This window comes from Homo sapiens, chromosome 16, assembly GCF_000001405.40.
Source record: "Homo sapiens chromosome 16, GRCh38.p14 Primary Assembly".
Lineage (NCBI taxonomy): Eukaryota > Metazoa > Chordata > Mammalia > Primates > Hominidae > Homo > Homo sapiens.
Window position 1 is genome coordinate 62,816,984 of NC_000016.10, and position 20,493 is coordinate 62,837,476.

Genomic DNA, 20,493 nt, shown 5'->3' on the forward strand with positions numbered 1-20,493 from the left:
TAATCTGAATAAATGTTTGTGGAACAAAGCATAACCTGTTTATAGATCTGAGAGACCAAACTTAATTTCTTTCTCAGGATCTCAACCAGCCTTATACAAATATATTCTCACCACACAACTAAGGGGCCTGAACATGTGCTGAGAGACCCTCCTCACTGGGCTGAATGCCTTCAGCTAGGAGATGAATGCTGACAGTAGTTATTCTGGGAAATGATTAATTAAATTCCTTTCCTGGCAGTTCCATTAATATCAACACAACATGGCAGAGATATTGACATAGTGAGAAAACATTGCCTTCAACAATAGGGCTTTGTTGACAAAACAGTGAAATGTCTAGACCATTAGCAACAATTTAGGAATCCATCTTCTCCATCAATCTCATTTAGCTTACACATCTCTCTCTCTCTCTCTCTCTCTGTCTGTCTCACACACGTGCACGCTCACACACACACATACTCAAAATGTGCAGCAGTTAGAAAAAGTGAAATGGAATTATCATTAAATATGAATGCAGGGTGGCTTAGAAACACACTAGACCAGCTGTTTCTCTCTCTCTCTTTCTTTCCTTCTCTGTTTTTCTTTATCTCCCCTCCCTCCCTCACACACACACACATACACAAACACACACACACACACTCACACGGCAGGAGTGGACATTCAAAAGTACATTCTGATGTTGACTGATAGTATTATTTAATGTAACAACTAACAGAGAGTGATTTCACTTACTGATTGTCTATATATTCTTGTTATTTAACTAATATTGTCTCCCCTCCTCACAAAAGCTTTTAAGTGTTACTGTCCATTTTACTGCAGACCAAGCTGTAGATAAAAGAAGTTGGGTAACTTACTAGAAACCACACACCAGAAAAGAAGCAGAATTGAGATTTAACTCTGAATGTTTCTTTCTCTAAAACTTTTACCCTTTTCACATCAGAGAACTTCTCCTTTATTGTTGACCCCAGAGAAAATTGCAGTTCTCTCTTTCAGCTTCCTGCCATACCTGAGCATCTGTAAGTCTGCTAAACTGAACTCTATGATTAATGAAACATTGGCATTTAACTCCATCGGAGGTCCTGCTTAGTTGCACAGTTGTCTGTCTCCTCTGTAAAGACTGTTGGCTTTTAGAGAAGCTTTGATTCCTTATAGCTCATTCTAGTAGCAGATAATGTGTCATCACAAGTAAGTGAAATGGGTGGATATTAATGTTTTCAAAGGAACCACTGCAAAATAAATTTAGCAGCGTACAAAAATATATAGCATTGTCTATACTTAATGTACACATTTATGATACATTTTATATTCCTAATCCTGATTCTCAAAGCTTCCTAGAAATCACTATCTTTAGTACTTACAGGTCTTTCTTTCACATATTCCATTCATGAATCCAGGTTTCCCTTCCTTTTACCCATTTTCTCTTCCTTTCCTCTTTCTAAAAGCATCAATGTGCAAGTATCTAGTTTGCTCAAAACATAATGGGAAATAGAATATTATGGTGTGATGAGTGCAAAGTCAGAGGTATGGTGCAGGATATAATGAGAACACTGGAAACTTCCACTCTTTTGCGAGTTCAGGGAAGACTACTCGGACAAGGTAATTAGTGAACTGAGTTTGGAAATATAAAAATAATCAGGCAGAAGTAAATAGAATGCTAAGTATTTTATATTTCAAGAGAGAGATCAACATGTTTGAAAGATATTAATTTGAAATCAGTTTCACTTAAGCTCCAGATTCCACAAGCTCCAGATTCAAGGACTAAGACATGATGTATATGATTTCCCATAGATTTCCTCCAGCTTGTTTTTTTTTTGTCATGGATTCAAATGAGATGGGCACATATTAAATATGAAAAGGTGTACTTGAAGCCAACAGAGCTCAAGCACATGATTAGTGTTAGTTCTCATTGCTCAAGTCTGGAGAGCTTGAAAACAAACTCTGTATCACTGAAAAAATCCCAACATGGAACAAGGGTCATGTTACACCCAGTAGGAATGGCTGCCATCTGTGGACTTGGTAGATTCAGGTGTGAATATCATCTAAATCACTCACAAATTCTGAGGTCATGAGCAAATTACTTAACCTCTGTGAGCCTCAGTTTACCCACTAATAAAGTGACCAGAAATACTGGAAAGATTCAGTGAGATAATATATTTAAACTACTTGGCATAGGCCCCAGCAATTTATAATTCAATAAAACATCTATCATTACTATAATTATAATTATTACTATTGATTATTTCTGCTGTTCTCAAGACTGAGTAAAGGCCGGGAGCAGTGGGTCACTCCTGTAATCCCAGCTCTTTGGGAAGCTGAGGAGGGCAGATCATTTGAGGTCAGGAGTTCGAGACCAGCCTGACGAACATGATAAAACCCCGTCTCTACTAAAAACAAAATACAAAAATTAGCCAGGCATGGTGGGTATGCACCTGTAATCCCAGCTACTTGGGAGACTGAGGTGGGATAATCACTTGAACCCAGGAGCTGGAGGTTGCAGTGAGCCGAGATAGCACCACTGCATTCCAGCCTGGGTGACATAGTGAGACTCTGTCTCAAAAATTTAAAAAGTTTAAAAAAAACCAAAAAACAAAAACAGACTGAATATTTGTAAGACTTACTTTAGGGCTTTTGTAAAAATGTGGGTGCCTGGGCCTCTACAGACTTTGATCACAATATTTGTAGGAGTCTGAACATTTCTGTTTCAAAATGTACTGTACACAATTTCTACATCAAACTAGGATACTGCTAAAGTATCCTAGTTTAAGACGTACTTGTCTTAAGTTGTAAGAATGATATTCTCTTAGGGTTCATACAGTGTATCCCAATTTTTTTCCTCAAATTATTTGTTTCCTACCTTAAACTTGATTTATAAAATGCTAATTAGCAGTTATAGATTTATAGTTCTTATTTCTGAGCATTCTATATATCAGGAAAATAGGAAGTGCTTTGCATAGATAAATCATTTTTTTAAAAAACACGATAACTCAATACATTGTTTTTCATGACCTCTGGGCTATAGCTGAGAAAAGTAAGAATCAAATATCTCAACTTAATTTCTAAGGTTATGTAGCTACTGTGTAGTGGAGGCGGAGCCAGGCTTTTTCCCACTGTTCCGTGTTGCCCTTTGGTGTTATAAATGGATGTGATTACTGCTAATCCTAAAGACATTTTATAAGATACTTTGTGTAACTATAGCTGGTATAGTACGTAGTTTTAAAATGTCAGGAGAAAGCCCTCAAGTATCATCTGAAGTCCAGTCCAGCTGGACTATTATGAGGCAACTTAGAGCCACACTCTTGTTTAATTTCTTGTGCCCAGCACTGAGGCATCTCTTCCTAAAGCATTCCGGTACTTCTACAGTCACTTCCTTATTAAATCCATTATTTCAGCATTCTTACTTTTCTCCGTGCACTGTTCCACTCCACTGAGCTGCTTCTGTGTGGATTACAGCCACTGTTTCATTGTGACTGAAACCTAATTGACTTCCACGGTAAATATTAAAGGAAGACGGCAAACGTGACTAGTCCATTCAGTATGATATGAAATGGCTAATGCCCATGTGTAATGAGGAAAGACTCTTTTGAGCTTCAGCTCTTGCTTTATGGGGGAAAGTAGGTGAATCCTCAAGTGATTGTTGACAAGTCTGTGGCAAACGTGTGCACCAACTGAAAATTTGAAATAAAAAACCCTGTACAAAGTCGTTAAACATCAAGCCCGATGAATTATTCATGCAATGGCTTCAAAGTTGGACTTGAAAAAATGTAAATAAAATACACGGAGAAGTTTCTCCTTTCTGGAAACAATTTTATAGTAATGAACTAAATGCAAGGAGCACTTAAGGTGTCTAACTGCATTGTATATTTTATGTAAATTAAGAATATTGAACAAATTCCCCCATTTGGTACAAAGGAGAAAAAGAAAATATGCCTTTCCTGATGATCAGTGCCTCTGAGAAAATGAATTATCTTTATTTTCTCCATTATCTTTTATTGCCATTTTATATACTTTATAAAATGTCGACCTGCAAGTTATTCAAATGAAATGTGATGTAATTTTTCTGATGCACAAGCCTTTTTTATACCCTTCAGGCATGACTGTGTTGACTGTGACCTTCTCTACATCCCTGTATATGCCTCACAGCTAGACTGCTGGAATAGAATGTGGTCTAGTGATAGGCAGAATACATTATAATTTTAAAAATGTAGTCTTTGGAGTCCAAAGGTCTGGGTTCAAATCCCATCTCTGCATTTAAATGTGTTACTCTGGATATGTTCATCATAATGGCTAACTCAAAGTGTTGTACAGGGCAAGAGAGATTGAATACACATCCACCAAGTACATAGGATCACACACAATTATCAGCTAATGAAATAGGATCTGATAAAATTCTTACAGTGGCTAGGCCCATACTACTCCCCTTGAATCCACAGTATTAGTTTTTACCCAAAGCCTAATATTTATAAGCCACATGTTTTTGTACACCATTTAAGAAAAGACAGAGAAACTCATTTGGAAAATGGATGTGATTGGTCCACAAAAGAACACCATTCCAACTTCTATTGAAAGTCAACATGTACCCGAGACTATGTCAAATGCCAAGTTCTCAATGAAGATACTCTGATAGAGCTTAGGAGTACAAACAGTGGAGTCTATAATAAAGTTTCCACTGCCAACAGCAAAATGAAAGTTATGCATGAATATATATGCATAATTTTTAAAAGACACTTCTAAATACAAGTGTTTTAATCTAAGTTCCCTAAAATCAGAGCCTCATATGAAAGGCTTGCAAGCTGGTGGTCTGTGTGGGAAATAATCCCAGAGCACAGGAGTAAAAAAACCTAGTAATGTAACCAAGAAAGAAGGAAAACCAATAACATATGGTTTTTCGTATGTATAATGCATAATAAATATGCACTGTTGGTCATTTATTTGTGCCACTCATGCTGAGTCACAAATTCTGAGGAGGCTGGTGAAATTTCTCAGAAAACTGACTGCTCAGCACAAAAATGAATAGCATTTAGTTATGAGCTTCCATCATGCATTGGTCAAAACATCCCCAAGGCTTTCACTCCCATATACTTCTGTATCGCACCAGCATAAATCATTAGAGTTCTCTTGGGCATCCCATGTGGTGAAATCAAAGAAGTCTCTGGATAGGAAGAAAGAATTCCTTGGCATTGGTCTAAAACAAAGTTGCATTGCAGAGAAGCTAATGAAACATGCATGAATTTGGTTGCTTCAATAGTGGCCACAGTAAGAGCTTTCAAGAAGAGCGCACTTTGCAATACTCACATTGGCCTGTATCCTTCATTGACTTCAGTCTCTCCTAGAGTAGCTATCAGGAAGGCCGCTGATGTAATTTGGATACTTATGCAAATCTCATGTTGAAATGTGATTCCCCAGTACTAGAAGTGGGGCCTGATGGGAGATGTTTGGATCATGGAGGCGGTTTCCTCATGAATGGCCTGGTGCCATACTCAGGTAATGAGTGAGTTCTTGTTCTATGAATTCAACAAGAGCTGGTTGTTTAAAAGAGCCTGTCTCCTCCCACATTTTCACTTGGCCAGTCTCTCTCTTGCCATGTGACACACCTGTTCCTGCTTCACCTTCATCGTAAGTAAAAGCTCCCTGAGGCCTCACCAGAAGCTGAGCAGATGCTGGCACCATGCTTCCTGTACAGCCTGCAGAAGCATGAGCCAGTTAAACCTTTTTTCTTTATAAATTAACCAGTCTCAGGTATTCCTTTGTAGTAATGCAAAACTAATATAGCCAGGCTCTGCAAAACATTAGAGAAGGTTTGGTAGAACAAGTTGCTAACTCCACTGCTGTGGCTGATAGAGAGACAAAATTCATTATCTGTCTACTCCAGCACTTACATTTCACTCTCCTTTGCCCAGCATTTCTGCTGCTGTAGGATGTTAGTCCTAGAGCTGGGTCACCCTGACTCTTTACCCGAAAGGAGAAGTCTGAGCCCATGTTTGACTTGCTCTTGCTGTGCTGTGGTTCCTATAATTTCCTATACCTTAACATTACCAGGTACAGAAGCACCAAAAGACAACCCAGTGGCATGACTGGGGCTCATTCTAATCAGAGGCATTTACCTCTATCAGAATAGCAATACTTCTTGCCTGTTGGACCACTGACAGAATGTCAAGGTGATTAGGTGGTAGCATTGGCTTCAAATTCAGTGGAAAACATATTGTTTCTTCTGGTGGAAGTGATCCCCTCCACTCATCCCAGATCAAGAACACTAATATAGTTTTGCCTAAGGTCATGAGGATGAAAAGCGTACTTTTATGTTTTCCTTAATTGAGTCAAATAAATAAAATTAGGTCAAACTGAATAAAGGTAAAAAGAGTTGTTCCTGATTCCACAATTTGGTTCCTGAGCTTATGTATTCTATCCTCTCTGGACTATACATTAGAGCTGTTGATTCTGCAAATATCACATATAGGAGTGTGGCATCTGAATCCTTCAAGGACTTGTTCCTTAGCTGGTGCTTTGGCTAAACCTTTAATGTATTATTGCACTATTCTTTGAGGTTGTCTACTTCAAAAAAAAATTTAGAGACTGTGTATTACTGTGTTGCCAAAGCTGGAGTGCAGTGGCACAATCACAGCTCACTGCAGCCTCAAACTCTTGGGCTCAAATAATCCTTCTGCCTCAGCCTCCTGAGTACCCAGAACTGTGAATATGTGCCACCACATCTGACTAATTAATTTTTTTTTTGTAGAGATGGGGTCTCCCTTTTGTTGCCAAGGCTGGTCTCAAACTTCTGGCCTCAAGTGATTCTCCCACCTTGGCCTCCCAAAGTGCTGAGATGACAGGTACAGGCCATTAAACCCTACCAAGGTTTTCTAATTTTATGTAATGAATGAGGGTTACAGTCACAGGTTTATTTTTGCACATTTGTTGCCACAAACTTGTCTCCTAGTCTGAAGACATGCTGTGCAGAATGTCATGAAAACATTAGGAATTTGACAAGTATTTGGTTGGTAGTGCTTCCATAGGCACTGCAAACAGAAAAGGCAAACCTTTATGTAAATAATGACTGTCTTCTTCAGTGCAGATTTCCAGTAATTATCCTGTCATTACATGACTATTGGTTCATTAAAGAGAGGGTATCATCTTGAGGGATCATGTTGGGCTCTGCTGCTTGTTTTAGGCATTAAGGGCTAACAGTTATTTGGTCATACTTGTTGGGAGGGAGCCCAGGGTGTATGGTCCATTCTAGCCTTCATCCTTGCTGCTAAGGCCATTCCATTCATGGGCCCGTGCACTAACACTTGTGTGGTGAGCTGTATTCATGTCTTACCTGGATGCCTTCTCTTCAGTGGATACTCTGTGAGCATTAACACGTGACACAAATGTTTTCGAACTTTGTGCTGCCTTCTCTTTGTTCATTTGCATACCTTTCTTCCAAATTCCTTTCTCCTAATCCCAATCAGTCTTGCACCTTCTCAGTCTTTTACTCACCAGCCAACCATTCACCAGGGGCTCCCTGTATATTCTCACCCCAGGCCACTTACCTGTTTATAAAAAATTGATCACTAGCTATGCTACACGAAGCTTCACTCATTGGAAAGTTTTTCATCACTGTCCTTTGGCAACACCCCTGGGTGGCCCTTGGTAAAGTAGCAGTCCCTCTGTGGCCTGCACCAGCTAATCACACTTACCCATTTGTGAACCAGGTTTAAGTTTTTTCCTCTTCCATTAGTTGGTGATAAAAACAAAGACAAGGTTTTGGCTGGGGAGGTATGTGAGTCGAGGGAAGCACTGGTGAGACACAGGTAGTTGATGTGGAAGATGGGGCCACATCTTTGTATAATTTATGCTCACCTTCCAAATCAGTATGGTCCCAGCCTGTGTATAACATGTCCATTGCTTTCCATGGTGGACCCCTGCTGCACCTGCTCGGCCTCATGACAAGTCATGATGGGCAGCTTTGTCCATGTAGACACTTAATTTCCATCGTTTTCAGTCTCTCTCTGTCTCTACCAGGGCCCAGCATCAGGGTGGGAGCTGTTTTTCAGATTCTGAGGTGTTCTCCTCTGTCGAAGGCATGGATTTTTTCCAGATCCTAGGAATCTCATCTAAGAACCTCCTATTGGAGCTTTCCAGAGATTCCACACACCAATCTTATCCAGCCTGGATAACTCTAGCATTATTGAATGACCAGGTCATGTGGTGACACAGCCTGTAACAGTCTGGACCTGCTAGAAAGCATTCTTGATCCAGGCACTTCTCAAATCCATGAGATTCCGAGTTGCAGGGCCATGGGTGCTGAGTGAGTTTGTGCTGAATTTCTGTGCCTTATTGTCAGAGAAACCCTGAGGTGGGACACAGGAGATAGGAAACTAAGACTGCAAGGAGGTACCGCTAGCTTCTCCAGCAGAGTGGCTGCCACAGCAGTGGCTGAATAAGAAAATGGGGTCAAGGAGACAGGAAGTGGTGAGTAGTAGGTAGAATAGTGGTGTACGTTTACTATAACATGATCGTGAATACATACCTTATTCACTTTAACTGCATCCTATTTGAAATTAATACCTTTCCAACATATTAGTGGTTAAATGATCTTCTGTGTATGTTTGTTTTGAAAAAAGAAAAATACAAAATGTTGCTTGTTGTATATCAATTCTTATTCTCACATTGCAAACACACACACACATACACACAAAGCCACACACAAACATACACACATCTACAAAATTGACAGTTTAAAATGTGTATGGGGAAGGCATGCAGTTACATCAGCTGGTATGAAAGTCAAATCTCCAACTTTGTTGATTCGATGGTCTTGAATATGTTACAATACATTTCTGACCTTTAATTCCCTTATATGTAAAATCTGGATGATAAAACTTATACAGTTGACCTTCAGTATCTGCAGGTTCAACCAATTGCAGATTGAAAATATTCAAAAAGTAAAAAAAAAAGTACTACAAAAATAAAAATTAATACAATGAAAATATGTATAAACACTATTAGGTTGGTGCAAAAGTAATTGTGTTTTTTGCTACTAAAGTAACAGCAAAAACCTCAATTACTTACGCACCAACCTAAAATATATAGTATTTACATTTTTATTTGGTTTAATAAGTAATCTAGAGATTAAAGTGTATGGAAGGATATGTGTAGGTTACATGCAAATACAGCACCATTTTATATAAGGGACTTGAGCAGCTTCAGATTTTGGTATCCATGGGGGTCCCTGGAACCAATCTCTCATGGATACCAAGAGACAACTGTATTTATATTTTACTGCAAGGAATAGCTTGAAACACGCACATACACATACACAAACAACACGCACCCGAAAGTATATCAGAAAGCTCTGGGAAATCTGGAATCTGCTGAAGTGGAATGTAGAATTTTATGTACATCAGTGTACAATCATATATGATTTTTTTTGCTAGCCCTAGTTTTAATGGGAAAAAACAGAGAACCTTCAGTTTATTTTATTGCCTTTCTTTCCTTTATGATTATTATTGATTATTATGTTTTATTCTTTTTTATTTTTATTTTTGCTCATTCACCCACCTTCTATAACTTATTAAAAGATTTCCATTGGAAGGCAGCAATTCTAAATCTCATGCCTTGTTTTACCTTACCAGGGGACTTTCTGCGTATTCAGCCTTGTTTCTGACCTTTATTTATTTACTTACTTATTGCCTTCAGTTACATCTTTTGCAGATAGAATAATTGGAGTTTCAAAAGAAAAGATAAATTTTCAGTTGAAGAAAGTAAATATTAACTGTGCTTTATTTTTATGAGATGAAGGCCATCGTTGTGTCTGAACAAAGGATAAATGTTTAAGAGTATCATTTCCTTGCTTCTGAGTGTGAAATACTTCAGGAAGTCAAAGTTGACTCAAAACTTTTAAAATTCCAGGGCAGTTACAGTTTGCAAAATTATCTTTCAACTCTTCCATCTGAAACAATCATCAGATTTCCAGGAATAGTTTTCATAGGTCAGTCTTCACTTCAGCATTGTATATTGTAGATGAAAAATGTATTTTGTAGCACAATCAAAATGATAATTTTTTCAATATGCTTCTTGAAGTTGCCTTGGCCACAGAAGACAAAGCATATACAAACTGTATTGCGCCAAACCTATACTAGTCAAGAATGTATGAGGAAACAGAATTCATTCTTCTGGGCATTTATAACATTTCTTACCTGTGTAATCCTGTATATCCACATCCTTGTTGGATTTCAGTGATACCCCTGAATCTCTGAAATGGAACTATAGCATAGTAATTTAATGATTTTAACACAATATTTGACTTTGCTTTGATAATTAAAAAAAAAAATACAGTAAATAGAACAAAGAAGGTCTAGGAGTTGCTTTCAATCTTCTGTGAAAACAGCATATAGTTTATAGTTTTAACTGTATGTTAAACAACATATAGTTTCAACAGCATATAATTAGAATCCTCGGAATGTTACGGCCTTGGGCAAGACACTTGTGTAGGAGGCTCAGTTTTCTCATCTGTTAACTTAGGTCAGTGTATCTCCTTCAGATTGTATCTTGGAGGTTTGAATGACACAGTATATGTAACACAGTTAGCATAGGCCCTGATAGAAAAAAATTAAAGCCTGGCTTTTATTATCATTTAATAATGTTGTCATCAAAACAATGTATATTTATTCTGAGACAGAGTCTTGCTCTTCACCTAGGCTGGAGTTCAATGGCACGATCTCTGCTCACTGCAACCTCCACCTCCTGGGTTCAAGCGATTCTCCTGCCTCAGCCTCCTGAGTAGCTGGGATTACAGGCACCCACCACCATGCTCGGCTAATTTTTGTAGTTTTAGTAGAGATGGGATTTCACCATGTTGGTTAGGCTGGTCTCGAACTCCTGACCTCATGATCCACCCACCTCGGCCTCCCAAAGTGCTGGGATTACAGGAGTGAGCCACCGCGCCCGGCCCTATTTCTCTTTCTTAAACCAAATAAGAAAATGTTCAGAACGTATAATTGCAGCTGTAATTAGTCACTGGAAACATTGCCAAATGGGTTGCTTACAGAGAGTGCAATCAGAGTGGTGAATGAGCTAGATATTATGCCCAATGATAAAGAGTTGATGGGGCTAAGAGTATAGTCTGGACAATAGATAAGATTAAGATGAATGCAGAACTAAAATGTGTTTATGTGGAAGAAGAAGGAAATTTAAAGTGTGTGATTCCAAATGACATAATTTGGACCTATAAAAATAGTCAGTAAACTGTTTTTTGTATGAGAAGTGCTTTACCAATGCAGTTGTGTAGTAATGCAAATTATACAAAGAGCAAAGCCAGTCATTCCTTTGAGTATTTCAATACAGGTCTGCAGTAACTTCTACTTTGGGAGAATAGGTCCGTTACAAATAACTAGATCATGAGGCGGGAGGTGAAGCAATATTTCATTTCTTACCCATCAGCATACCCTCCTGGGGTCTGCTGCAAGAGACAGAATAAAAGAATTTTTGTTTGTTTTTATGTACAATTTTCTGCTTGGCAGGTGTCAAGAACAATAATGCTACATCTCAGAAGCACTGGCCATTCACTCCATCCTTCACCATGATTTGTTCTAGGTCCTGTGCTTGTCCCTGGCACAAAAAAATGAGTCAGACATGGTACTTGCTCCTGAGCACAGTCAGGAGGAAAAGATGGAACTGTAAATCCCTAATTACCACATGGTGAAATGTTTAGAGGAGGTGTAAAAAATGCCATATAATCTGAAAAGCAAAAACAGCTAGCTATGCTAGTGCTGTGGATTAATTCAAGAGAAATACTGAAGAGAAGGTGTTCTCTATACAGTGTGCCAAATAATGTATAGTGTTTCTAGCATGCCAAGGGTGGCATGAGGGCATGGCATGCTAGGTCATCTTATGCAAAGTGGACTGGCTGAGCAACAGTATAGAAACAGGAAAAAGAACTGGAGTGTTCAAGGGGCAGCAAGTAGTTTGATAGCTGTGGAACCAAGGGGCTAACTGGAGAAGCAGTGGGAGATTATTCTACAACGCAACGTTGGGTCCCCGATAGGAAATGCCTTGAAAAGCAAAACCAAACAGTTTGCACTATGCTACGTGCTTTGAAAACTTGACATTTTACCCTAGAAGTATGGCAATAGATTGGGGAGGTCAGGAAAGAAGGCTGGGGAAAGAATTTGGAGCATGTTGGAATATTGCAGGTAACAGGTGATGAGCTGGTGGCCATGGCAGCAAGCTAAGGAAACAACAGGGAATGGGACCATTGGTTATTACACCCTATTTGCTAAAAGGCAGCACTCCAAGTTTCATGGAGGGAAATAATGAACTTTGAGTGAGAAGGAATCAGTTCAAGGTCAAGCTTTACCACTCACTCACTGTGTTACCTTGGACTTGGATGGCTTCCCAGGATCCTTTGGGCTTGCACATTATCTTATTCTGTTTTTCTGATGTAGAATGTTATACTAAATAAATACTGACTGTATTTATGTCTCTGTTCCTCGAATTTAAGAAATCAATGAAAGTGTCTCTTTGGAGTACACAATATTGTATGTCATTTTGATCTTTTTTAGCATGACTAATTTAGTCCCTTCTACCAAATTCATTAAATCATGTTTGTCTTTAAAGGATACATTTTATTCTCTCTGACCCTTTCTACATGGCTGTTAAAAAGCGTCTTTCTTGACTCTAATTAATAAACTGCAACTATTCAATTAAGAAAATATATTTAAAAACAAAACTTGGACCATTTTCAAAGCAAAAGCCTGCTAAACACAATTTCAGCCCTCCTCCAGGAATTAGCAACTGATGTGCTGACATAGTACATGCATATTTACTTTTGTTATCCTCCAAAACGCATTGTTACCATGGTAACTCATGTAGTGCCACTGCGACCAAGAAACAGAAGTTCTTGGTGGTGATAAAAAAAAGAGGAAGAAACAAAGAAAAAAAAAATCAATGGGGAATTACTAGAAATAAAAGGCATATTAACATACCACCATGTAAACTACTGCAAATTATCTCAGGAAATTCTAGGGAAGGGAGACCACCATTAGGTAAGTGCTACAATTTAACATACTGCTTCTAATTGTTCCTTTATCAGGAAGAATATTGCAACAGCCTTACTGGTTACCTGTCAAACTGTTTGAGTAGCTTCATTAATGTTCGGTCTACTTAATTCCTCATGAAAGAAGAGGCCTTGAATGTTTTGCTTAATATTGTATGACCAGCACGTAGTACAATCAATACCCAACACATAATAAGTATTACAAAATAGTGAAATAAGTAAATAGATGAAAGAAAGCAAGTTTAATGCAATGCCTACAAAACATTCAAAAAGGATTAAAGGAGACTCTGTTGGAGTAAAAAGAAGACTGTTTCCTAATTTTCAAAGTACACTAAGAATAATATTGAGACCTAATAAAATCCTGGGCCGTGGATGATTTTGATTCAGTGAATCTAAGATGGGGCTCAGGAAACTGTAGCTTATGTTTGACATGTGCACGAGGTGAGCCTGATGCATTCTATCTAGGGACTTCCTTTTGAACATATTCAGAAAGGGCATTAGACTAGAAGTCTAAACATTCTAAATTTGCTCCATTGTTGTACAACTTTGTTGAATTTCTAGGTTAGGATTCTTTACTCAGAGTGACATGAAGTAGAATTTTAATTGTTTTCACATATGCGAATTCAAGAACTCTCCCTTATTTCATTTAAAATGGCTCTAATTACAAAAGAATATATATATATTCTGATTACAAATATATATAATTCTGATTTTATACACACACACACACACACACACACACACACACACACACACACATATTTGGGTTTTATATAAGGTTTTATATAAGGTTTCCATTTTTCTTCCAAAGAAGGTTTCTGCTGTTGACAATAATTTGCCAATGATTAATTGAAATGCAAAAACAAAACAACTTTGATAATTTCAAGAATATATATAGTTTCAAAAATAAATCTATGTTTTAGAAATTACCTAATTGATTTGATTAAGGCAGGCAATCTTTCAGAATTTTCTAGACCAAAATAAAATCCATTGGAGTATCATCAATACACTTTTTAAATAAATCATATTTGCCAAATAATCACCAAATTATTTGCTTGTTTTAGATAGAAACTATAGAATATATTTGTTATCAAACAGATTTCCTTTGATTCTTTTTCCCAGATAGAGCACCTTGCTTTTTATCCTGTTACCAAATTGGAAAAGTAAGATTTTATTGTTGGGTACATTGAAATATTGTAATATAGTAAGTAGAAAGATGGAAAGTCTCATTTCTGGTGTTCTTTTTCTCTACTTCTCAAATAAAGAACAACCTGACTTTAATATTTGAAATTTCAGTTTGTTATAGTAATAAAAATGACTGGAAATCAACAACAACAACAAAACCTGTGGCTACGTAATCAGCTATTGCTTTTACTAGCAAAGCCATTTGGAATTTTGCAGCAAACTCTGCCCTAAATGTGCTGAAGGTTAAAGGTTGTTGCATTTTGATCAGGTTCCAGACAAATTGATTCAATCTCTTCTTTGTGGATTTGGCTGAGAACCTAATTTCTTTTTTTATTCTCCTGTCTCCTCTCTTCTTTTCCTCTTCCCATCATGGGCCCTAAAGATGCTGAACTGCTGTTCCCTCATTTGGCCCTTCTCAGTCATAAGCATTCCCCATTGGTCACACACATTGCTAATGCAGTCAGTGACCTCATAAAACAAATAAATTCAAAGATGAAAATGGATGTCCCTATTTAAAAGAGGTCAAGCAGCAAGTGGGAATCAAGTGTGAATAGCAAGCAGACGGCAATTGCATTTCAATGAGACTAGTACTTCCAAAATGCTGGGCTGCCAACACAATTACTATATCATTGTTTTTAAAGAAAAGACATTTATAAAGAATCATTAATGTAAAGCTTATTTTAAAATGTAAAACTTTATATAGCTAATTATTTTAAATGAAAAGCAGATTTATTTCAAAATTTAATACTAGATTGACAATTAAATTTCTAGGATCATTTGATTTCAAGGAGTATATGTATAATAAATGTTCATTACCTCCCTATATGCCAGGGTTGTGCTAATTTATTTCACACACCGATTTGCATGTAGTCTTAATAACCCAGAGGCAAAATAAGTAGATTGTAACCACATTTCAGATGAAGAACCAAAGGCTCAGAGAGAACAAACTACTTTCCACAGTTAAAGTTACAAAGTTGGCTAGGTCGTCACTCAAATCTAATTGTCATTAGATTGTATCACGTCTCTCAAGTATTAGCTACATTTAATAGGATAAGAAAGTTTATAGAGATTAATTGTGAGTAGAGAATATGGTAAAGGCCAATGATGAATTGCTTTTCTATAGACTTTGAAAGATGCATGTCGAGTAATACCAGGTTAAAGAAGAACATGAACAAAGACATGCAAATGAGGGCTTTCAGGGAATGCTGGTTGAATTCTGAGGACTAGCTAGAGACTAACGGTATGAGTTGAGGGGTTTTTACTGAGACGAGAAAGCTGTCAGACCCACCCCAGGCTTTCAAAATTTTACCACTGAACAGCTTGGTAGAGAAAAAAAAAAAATAATGATAATAACATAATGATAAGAAGAGTCTATATTCATTTACATTTCTTGGCTCCCCTGTTTCTTCATTCGTTTATTTGTCCATTAATTGGCCAAGGTTTTATCCAAAGCTGACTCTATGCCAAAACAATTATAATATTCAGGGATGGGATGAGGCATAGTACAGGAAGGTAGGCTGAGGATCCTGAGCTATGGTAACACAGAAATATGTATCTACTTAAATTTGGGGAACAGATGAGGCTTCCTTTCGACCTAACTGAAACTTGAAACAACAGTATGAGCTGGACAGATAAGCCAGGGATGGACACATGGAGATCTACAAAGATAAGGGAGAAATAAATTTAAGCAAACATACATCCCAAATAATAACAGTATAAAATACACCCAGATGCCCAGAGAGCTCCAAGTGATTGAGTTGAATTGAACATGAGGCTATAAATGTATTTTGAGGTCATGCTGAGTAACCTGTATTTTATCCTGTCAACAATGGAAACAAATGTTAAGCTGAGGAGAAGATCCTTGGTTTCGGAACATGACTCAAGCTTTGTTGTTACCGGGATTGTGCCCTGGGTTCTTATAATCTCCCAGGTTAGAATCAGAAAGATCACCAGATATGGCAGCAAAGTGAAAGTTAAATTGTATTGAGCTTGTGCACAAGGGAGCCAGCACCACAAAAGGAAAAGGATGGGCTGTTCTCTGAGGATAGTAGGTGGTTTAGTTTTAAGTGGCCTTTCTACAGGAAAGGGTTTCATCAACGTTTTTATAGGAGGGGTTTCTTTAGCGCTTGCACGGTAGCTCCACAGGCTTCTGCATACTTTGCATGTAACATTGGCATTTTATTTATTCATTCATTCATTTATTTTGAGATGAAGTCTTGCTCTGTCTCCCAGGCTAGAGTGCAGTGGTGCAATCTCGGCTTACTGAAACCTCTGCCTCCTGGGTTCAAGTGATTCTCCTGCTTCAGCCTCCTGAGTAGCCGGGATTACAGGAACTCACCACCGTACTCGGCTAATTTTTGCATGTTTTAGCAGAGACAGGGTTTCACACTCTTGGCCAGGCTGGTCTCGAACTCCTGACCTCGTGATTCACCCTCCTTGGCCTCCCAAAGTGCTAGGATTACAGGAGTAAGCCACTGTGCCCAGCCAACATTGGCATTTTAAATCTCCACTGCCAGGCATGATTTTTAGCATTAAAATGAGGAAAAGCTCACTATCAGGTGAAGTTTACATCTAACTGTGCATGTGGGGTCCTAGGGAATCCCCTAGCCCCCAAGGCAGGGATTTATGCTTAATAGCTTCTTGGGTCTTTTGCTGCTGATTAGCTGGAAGTTAGATAAGCTACAACCTGAGTAAGGAGCTTTGATTATTTTTCTCTAAACTACATTGAAACAGGAAAGCGGCCTGACTGCCTGTCGTAGCTGCAGTGTGGAAAATGGTTACTAGAGCCTGGATAGGCAGGTGGGGATGTACGTGTTGCTGTGATAGAGTCATGGATGAGGAAGAAGAATTCACAGATACTCCCTCACAGATATGAGAATGTATTTATTTTACTAAGTCCCATATTTTGGCACAAAATAAATTTTCTGGGGCTCAAAATGAAAATATTATTTTATCTCCTTCCTCAAAATGGTTTATCTTGTGTTGTTTGTTGAATAAAGTAGAGTGGATCATTGCACACCACCTTCATTCTCATCTCAGTAAAATTGAGGTTTTTTTTCCCTGTTCCTGCTTCTGAAAAGATAATTTTCCCCCCACATTGCCTGGAGGGAACTGGCCCTTCTTGAACAGCCGAAGTGACCCCGGCCCCTGGAGAGGCAGAATCTTTGACCCTGAGGCTACTGCAGCTTTTGAATTACTGCCAAGATGCTGCTGGCATCCCCTGGAGAAAGACTACAGGATCTAGAAAAGATGAGGGAGATTTTTAACATGTTTAAAAATATTTATCAGTGCAGAAATTGAATGTCGAGAAACCACTGCAATGAAGATTAAACTAGCACAATCAGGCTAACGATGGCTAACATTTTGTTGAGGACATTAATATAGGGCAGCCATTGTTTTCAACATTTTATGGAGACTTTCTTATTTTATTCTGACCACCTGTGAAGTGCTGTATCAGTCCAGATTCAAGTGGGAAAACTAAAGATACTCAAATTAGGATATTTAGAAGAGAAGTAAATTAAGAGACGTTTACAACTGTGTGCCTAAGATGGAAGGAATTCAAAAGATATAATGCAGAATATCTGGACTATGAACAGGTGCGCTCTCTTATCACCACCAGGGCTAAAAGGGAAAGGAGAGGAAGCAGTAACTGGAAGTGCATATTGAGAAGAGAGGTAAAGAGGGCCACAAAATGGGAACTGAGACTAGGGTGGAGGCATGGAAATGCCTGCATTGACCTTGCAAAAGAGTCAGAGCAGTGGAACCAATATTGTATTGGCCAGGTTCTCCAGAGAAACAGACCAGTAGGAGATATCTCTTTGTATTTGATAGATAGAAAAATAGATAGATAGATAGATATAGAGATAATTATAAGAATTATTTAAGACAGTTACACACACACACACGCACACACACACGATTTATTTTAAGGAATTGGTTTATGTGATTGCAGGGCCTAGGCAGTCCTAAATGTGTAGGGCAGAACGGCAGACTGGAAACTCAGACAGGAGTTGATATTAGAATCTTAAGTCTGAAATGCATAGGGCAGGCTGGCAGGCTGGAGTATTCAAACAATTTCTATAGTTCCGTCTTGAGGCAGAATTCCTTCTTTAAGAAGCTTCAGTTTTTGCTCTTAAGGCCTTCAACAGATTGAATGAGGCCCACCTACACTATCAATACTCACCTCCTTTACTTAAAGTCAGGTGATGGTATATGTTAATTATATCTACAAAATACCTTCACAGTGACATCTAGACTATTGTTGGACCAAATAATTCAGCATCATAGCATAGCCAAGCTGACCCATGAAACTTAATCTTTAAGAATACCTGAGGCTTTTCTTTTCTTCCTCTCTTTAGTCTACTGCTGGGGCTGTTAACCAAACCCAACTCATAAAGCAGAGGATAAGGAGGTCTTTTGACACAGTCTGGAAAAGGTAGGCTCTCTGGCATCTGTGTATAGCTCCACTGCTTCCTCTCTGCCATCAGTGATACCCACAAATACACAGGTGGGAAATTATTTTGTCAATATTTAAAATATTTTTAAAAAGATATTTGCCTTGTTTTTAAATTAAAATTATGGCATTTATTACTCTCTATAGAACATTTTCTCGTATTTCTTATTTTTACTTTTTAACTTAGTACATTTTCACCACATGTACATTTGATAGCTCTATTTTGCAAATATGTGAATTCAATGGATAGGCTAGGTAACTTGCTACAAGTAAAAAGCTACAGAGTGATAGATTTAAGACTTGATCTTATGTCTTCAAGAATTAATTTGCCAAGTGCTATCTACCACAGTTCTTCAGTATGTGTTGCACACATGAATCTAGGATATCAGTAAAATACATATGACTCAGCAACGCCCATATCCATTTGGAATCAGCTGAGATGGGGCGTTGCTGCAAAATCAGAAGTTTTAATTCTCTGTGTCAATAATGTTTCTTATTAATGGATTTACCTGCGAGAAGAATGTGAAATAGTTTTTGACGTCTAGACTTAATTTAGATAATCCATTATATTTCTGTCCAATAAAATGTTATACACGTGTCCATCAATACCAAATAAGAATTCTTTTTCTAAAAGGTGTTCTCTTTATTAGTATGATTATCTGTACCTTCTATCTAGGCTATTTCAGTTTCTAGTTTGTTTTTTAGATATATTTTTGGTCCATTTGCCAAACAATATATTTGCTAGCAGAAAGATATTCTTAGTGCCCAGATTCTGATGCTTTTATCTGAATAGGTATGCTAATTTATTGAAGATTTTATATTTGTTTGTTTTATTTTGAAAGACAAATTATGCTGACTTTTTTCTTCTTTGAAATTTTGTTGTTAGCTCATCAACTTTATTTTGCTCAAATTGAGAGTGGCAGTTACTACTCTTTAATTGCTTGATTTCTTTTTGGCACAATAAGGGCAGAATAGGATAAATGTGTTAGATACTGATTTCTAGGGAAAACCAGCTATTTCCTAAACATCTTTAGATCAGTGGTCATCAGAGTTACTCTGTAAAGGAACTCATAATAAGTAACTTAGGCTTCGCGAGCCATATAGTCTCTGTCATAATGCCTGTACTCTGTCACTGTAGCACTGGAGAAGCAATACACAATAGGGAGAGAAATGGGCATGCCTTTGTTCAAATAAAACTTTATTTATAAACACTGGTATTGGAATTTCATGTAATTAGCCAACTTTTGATTTTTTTCAACCACCTCATAATATTGTTAAAAAACTATTCTTAGCTCAAAGGCTGTACTAAAACAAGGGGTGGGCTGAATTCGGCTCCATGGGCCATGGTTTGCAGACTCCTGCTCTAGGGACATCCCAAAAGGACATTTCCCAACAGAGATGTGTCACATATTTTCTTTTTTCTTTTTTTTTTCTGAGACAGAGTCTTGCTCTGTCACCCAGGCTGGAGTGCAATGGCACAACCTGGGATCACTGCAACCTCCGCCTCCTGGGTTCAAGAAATTCTCGTGCCTCAGCCTCATGAGTAGCTGAGATTACAGGCACATACCACCATGCCTGGCTATGTTGTTGTTGTTGTTTTTGTATTTTTAGTAGAAACATGGTTTCACCATGTTTTCCAGGCTGATCTTGAACTCCTGAGCTAAGGCAATCCGTCCACCTCGGCCTCCCAAAGTGCTAGGATTACAGGAGTGAGCCACCATGCCCGGCTGATGCGTCACATATTGATTACACAGTTTTTGATGGAGATTAGAGAGATGTCAACTGATATTTACTGTTCATTTATTCTGTTGTGTGTTGTATA

General features: G+C 38.0%; 1 long non-coding RNA gene across 2 annotated transcripts in view; it reads left to right on the top strand.

Annotated features, from left to right (window-relative positions):
- LOC102723560 (uncharacterized) overlaps positions 1-18,719 on the top strand; it is a 110,046-nt gene extending 91,327 nt beyond the window's left edge. For both annotated transcript variants that reach the window (XR_933663.3, XR_933661.3), the window contains exon 4: positions 18,577-18,719. This is a non-coding gene — a long non-coding RNA (uncharacterized LOC102723560). The remainder of the gene's footprint in view (positions 1-18,576) is intronic.
- The last annotated feature ends 1,774 nt before the right edge of the window (positions 18,720-20,493 follow it).